Here is a 6,371-nt window from a genome sequence, read left to right on the forward strand (position 1 = left end):
CACAAATTATAACCAACATGTCATACTAATGTAAGATGTTAATAATAGGGGGAAACAGGTGTTGAGTATATATAATATCTTCACTTTTTTGGCAAATAGAAAACTATTCTAACATTAAAAGTTTATTAAAAAATGATGAATTTTTGCCATAACATATGAATAATTACACTAAGTATAAATGGTCTAAGTCTACCAATTATAAGACAAAGATTAACAGGATGTAAACAAAAAAATGACCCAACTGTATGTTGTTTAAATACATTGATTTCAAATATCATAAGTAGGTGAAAGCAATATAACAAGCAAACATTAATCGAAAGCAGGAGTAACTGTATTAATATCAGATAAAGTAGACTTCAGAGCAAAGAAAATTGTCTAAGATGGAAAGGAATATTATTTAATGATAAAAGGGTCAATCTTTTTAGAAGACATAGTAATCCTTAATGTTTATTCACCTAATATAAAGGCTACAAACTATATGAAGCAAAAAGTGATATAACTTAAAGGAGAAATAGACAAATTTACAATTATAGTTGGAGTCTTTAAAATCCCTTCTCAATAACTAATTAAACAACTTAGACACAAATTCAGCAAAGATATATAGGAACAAGTTCAGATGCCGCCAACAACCAACAGGGTCTAATTGCATTTATAGAACACTCCACTCAACCACAGAAGAATACACAGCCTTTTCAAATTACCACAGAACATATTACCAAGATAGAACATATCCTTGGCCATAAAGCAAACAATGAGAAATTTAAAGGAATTAAAACCACACAGACTGCTTTCTTTATCACAATGGAATCGAACTAGAAATCAGTTGCAGGAAGACAATGAGAAAATATCCAAACACTTGGAAACTAAACAACATACTACATAATAATCCATGAGTCAAAGAAGAAGTCTTAAAGGAAAATTTAAAAGATACATTGGACTGAATAGAAATGAAAATGCAACATCTAAATTTGTGGTATTAAGCTAAAACAATGCTGTGAGGGAAATTCATAGGACTAAATGCTTATATTAGAAAAGGGTAAAGTTCCAAAATCAATAATCTAAGTCCCTCAAGAAACTTAAAAAAAAAGTCAAAGTAGACCAAGCAAGCAGAAGGAAGAAAATAATAAAGATAAAATTATAAATTAACAAAATTGAAAACAAAAAATTTTTAAAAAATCAGTGAAACAAAAAGCTGCTTCTTTGAAAATATCAATAAAATTTGCAAACTTCTAGCATGACTAAAAAAAGGTGACACAAAATGCTAATATTAAGAATGAAATAGCAAATATTACCACAGACTCTGAAGGAATGGAAAGAATAGTAAGGAAATACTGTAAACATCTTTACACCCATCAATTTAGCAACTTTGAAAAAATGGACCAATCCTTAAAAACACAAACAACCACAATGCATTCATTATGAAATGGATAATTTAAATAGCCATGTAATTATTATGGAAATTAAATTCATAAGTAGACACCCCTCAAAAAGAAATCTCCAGGTTTAGATGGTTTTACTAGAGTATTTTACCAGATGTTTAAAATAGAATTAACATCAATTCTACAAAGTCTCTGCCAGAAAGAGAATAATCTTTTATGAGACCAGCACAACATGATACCAAACCAAACCAGATTAAAAAAAGAAAATGACAGATCAATATCCCTCTCAAAAATAATGCAGAAATCCTTAATAAGACATTAGTGAATTTAGCAATATATAAAAAGAATTATACATTATGACCAAGTATGCTTTATTACAGGGGTCAAGGTTGTTTTAATATTGTAAAATTAATCAATAAAATCATATTAACAGGCCAAGGAACAATAACATGATTTTATCAACAGATTCAGAAAGAGCATTTGACAAAATTCAACACCCATTCATGACAAAAACTCTCAGAAATCTGGAAATAGTGGTCAATTTTCTGATCTTGATAACAAATATTTACAAAAAACTTAACGGCTAACATTATAGTTAATTACTATGACTAAATGTTTTTCCCCTAAGAACAGAAAAAAAAAAGGTAAGAATGTCTGCTCTCACCACTGCTATTCAGTGGTCATGCTGGAATTTCTGGCCAGCACAATAAAGCAAGAAAAAAAAAAAGGCATACAGATAAGGAAAAAAAAAAAAAAAAAAAGAAACTGCCCCTGTTTGCAGATGGCATGAATGTGGAAAATTCAATTAACCAAACTCTCTTAGAATTAATTAGATAAGTTCAGCAGTCTCAGGACACAAGATCAACATGCAAACATCAACTCTATTTCTATATTCTAGCAGTGAACCTGTTGAAACTGAAGTTAGAATACCATTTCATCATTAACCAACCAACCAAACAAAACACACACAACTTAGTTGAAAACCTAAAAAACATGTCCAGGACCTTTATGCTGTAAACAAAATGCTGATACTAGAAACTAACAAATAAAAATCTAAATAGACATACTGTGTTTATGGATTGAGTCAGTAAAAGAGAGATGTCAATTATCTGCAAATTGATATTCAGGTTTACCAGAGCATTCTCTCCTTCCAGTGTTAACTTCATTTCAAAGGGGCTAAAGACCCAGACAGCAACTTCCTGCCTTACTCCCACAATCCTAAATCTTTAGCATATTTTTGTAGAAATGATTACGAACAAGAGGACAAAGAAATTACTCTGTATCTCAACCTGTAATTTTTCTCAAAGCAAAAGAGTTGGAAGGCAAAGTTTCCCTCTCAATAAAGTTATTTAAGATCAAGTCAGAAACCCCTTGATGGTGGTGGAGGCGGGGAGTTATGGCTGTTCTTTGACTATCCTTCCCACGTTTATCTAATCTCTGGAAGGTAATGATAACCAGAAACATCATCATCATCATCATCATCATCATCATCATTATGATAGCCGCTTGTGCTATGGGCCCACAACCTGTGCTAACTACTAACCCCATAAGGCCAAGAGGACTTACAAAAATTGCTCAGATTCGTACGGATTGTTAATAGCATCAGGAAAACTCCAACTTGGGTTTCCATGATTACAAAGCCAGTGAACACCACCAGTGGAAATCGTTAGAAATATATTTGTATTTATTTTTATCTTACCTATTTCTTCTGTCCATTTCTATTGTTTGCTATATAATTACATAACATAACATTAATACGATTATATATTAAATTAATAAATAATTAATGGAAATTGAGATTAATTAATTAATTAAAAGTGAGATTTTTAAAAGGTTTCCTTTGTACGAAATTATATAAAATCTGGAAAACCACTCTAAACTGCACTGTCCTGCCCTCTTTATGCTGGTTTCTATGTCCTTATATAACTCACCTGTATATGTCATCCATCAACACCCCAGTGATGAGTAATAATTCTAATATGCAAGGTCTGTAAGTGAGAAAGCTGAGCATTATGATTAAATGGCTCTACATCTCCATTTTTCAAAATGTGTTTGTTAACATGAAGCAGAACAATTTTCTGCACCCACCTTAGAGGTCCCACTGTGTAGTGCTCTCCTATCTGAGTTGTATTCTTCAATATTTGGTGTGATTAACAGTGGGGGTAGGGCTCACACTCAAAACAACATACTGCTTTGCCATTTCTCCTATGAATTCTTGAAGCAATGAAAGTCAGAAAAACATTGTCAGGATAGGGTCATAATAAAAGGCCCTATTGAATGCTGTTCTCCTGAGCCTATAAATTCAGTGAAGTTTATTGTTCTGATCTTGAGTCCACAGATTATGCTGTTTGCTTTAAGGCACTAAAGAAGCAGTCAGTTTGAGCAGCAGTAAAATTTCTGCAGAATAAACAAACTCATAAACTGGCATTCTACAACTTCCTTCCACTGCACTATTTCGCCATGGTTGTTTCACTTCAGGATCACAGTGGTAAAATGATGCAAAGTACAGACTGACTTCTAGGATTTAAAAAGACAAGATTAGCATTTCGACAATACCTAACAAATATCTCCTAACTTAAAAATTTTCAAAATATTTCAATGATGTATCACTCTCTATGGTAATAAGCACAATGGTCCAGTGGTATTTTTAGTGACTTGGGCAGCTTTGTAGTCTGTGAGCAAGTGCATTTCAGGCGATTACTGCAACAGGACTGTGCTGTTCTTGGCTACTGTTGTGATTAATTGACATTACCCAGGAAATGCACAGCTGAAGGTAAGAGATGCCGGCATAAATGTGGCACCATAATTTGTAATTGGTGTGTGTCTTCCCTATATATCTCCTTAGCATCCCTTTCCTTTTAAGCAGCTACAGGGCCCTTTTATAATTCAGCATCTGTGTAAATCTGAGATTCTCTGGTCTTTTGTAAAAGCCCAAACCATTTGAAGAGAGACTGTAGGTGTCCCAGAGGGGTTTGAGTAAAAGAGAATGACTGAGGAAAATGAGAAAGAAAGTCAAGTTTTCTTCCCCAGCCTGAGAAGGATATGAGCAGCCGAGAACAGTGCTCAGCGTTTTGGCTGTGCACCAGGAAGGTGGGAAATTGTTGGTTGGCTAGGATGAATATTAAGTTTGCTGGGCTCAGAGCCCAAGTATTCACAGCCCAGCCTAAGAATCTGTGTCCCAAATGTGTCAAAGGAGCACCAGAACCACTGAAGGAACCTTATGTGTGCAAAGCCAATAAATATGTTGGTGGTTTCCAGTGTGGACAGATGGCTGGTGACTGGAATGGTGTCCTCAGTACCTTTAAAATGTGCCTCGAGAACAAGCCCAGCACATTTAGCTTGGGAACTGGAAAATGATTGGAAGTGATTTCCCCAAATCATGATGAAAGCTTGCATGCCAGAATTTGCAGGCTGTTGTTCACATCAGCTATAAGATATTCTTTTCTTATACCCTTAAGATCTGCAACAATCACTATCTTCCTAAAGACATTCACTTCTATGATAATACTTTCCAAATCTCTTGTAAAATACATCTTTTCTGTTGTACCTTAGATTCCACTTACGACTTCGTTTATGTTCCATTTCAAAATACTTTGTGGTATTCTTTTTGATATTGCTTGCATTATGTAAGTATGCATATTGCCTGCTTTTAGCATTATTTATCTCTGCCTTTTACTGGGGAGTCTGATAGCTTATTCTGTTTATTTTATTTCCCAGTACTTGAAATAGAGCCATAAGGAGCAGCATGAGGGGGCTTATATTAACATACACATACTGACACTGAAAAGAGCAGAAGAAAAGCAAAAGATGAAGACCAAATGCCAAGACTGTTTTTCTCTTATAACCTAGAGCATGTGTGTTATAGTGGGCGTATCATATTTCATTGAATCTGTCTAAGGTATTGTTCATTGTACAGTCATTGTTTTAGGTACTAATAAGAAAGAAAATATGCTGCCAATAAAACTGATACAATGCTTCCTTATCACTTAAAATTTTTGTTTTCTACTTATTGGAGGAAATCTTATAGTTACTTAACTATAGACTTTTATTGTATGTCACTCTTGTACATGCATAAAAAAGAAAGTAAAAGTGAGATAAATGAGTTACCCTATTCTGAAGCTTCTTCACTTCTAGCATCTGACTTTCCTGAATTACCTTCTAACTCAGAGTTATCAAATTCATGGGCAACATTTTTCTAGCGAACACCCCATTATTATCTCGGAGTTCTCTCCCAGTAAGCTGATGTTGCCACTTTTCATGTTTGCTCATGCCAAAGAAATGGCAACTACATCATAATTGTCATCTGCCTGCAACAATCTTAAGATGCCATATTGTAATAAGCACTTCTGTTTTAATTATATTACATATTTTAAAAGAATGTGTGCATAAAAAGTAAGGAAACATGGAATTAACAGTTTCCATAATTTGTTATAAAATAGATTCATGACATAGGAAAATTATTCTGTAGGATTAAAAAAAGACCTTTTATTTTGCTTTCTTCTTACACTTTTATTTTCAAGGCAAAATACAAAGCCTTTTCTTTGTATTTCATTTCTTTAAAGCTTTCAGAAATGTTATAGCCCATGAATATGGTGAAATGATTTGCCACTGCAATGGTTTAATCAAGATTCCCGTTTACATTAGGTGATAACTATTTAAAATTCTCCCATTGTTGTTCTGTAGATACAAGGGATGTGATGAGAAGTAAATGCAAATAAAGGTTATAATATGTTCTTCCTGGACTCCCAAAAGCTAATCTTTCACACTGATTTTGAGGAATACTATCCTGAATGTAAAGATGGTGCTCAATCAGATGAGAATCCTTGTTTTTTTCAGAGAAAGTACAGTTCATCTTTTTCTCAGTTTTTTACTGGCATCTTAATGCTAGAGGGTTAATTTGTTTCTGCAAGTGAGCCTTTGATTACCAGACTGTAACTTCCTCATGTGGCAATAGTCAGTCTTAGGAAAAGTTCCCTGTGAAGTTAATTTTTA

Source organism: Homo sapiens, chromosome 10 (assembly GCF_000001405.40).
Source record: "Homo sapiens chromosome 10, GRCh38.p14 Primary Assembly".
In the NCBI taxonomy this organism is placed as follows: Eukaryota; Metazoa; Chordata; class Mammalia; order Primates; family Hominidae; genus Homo; species Homo sapiens.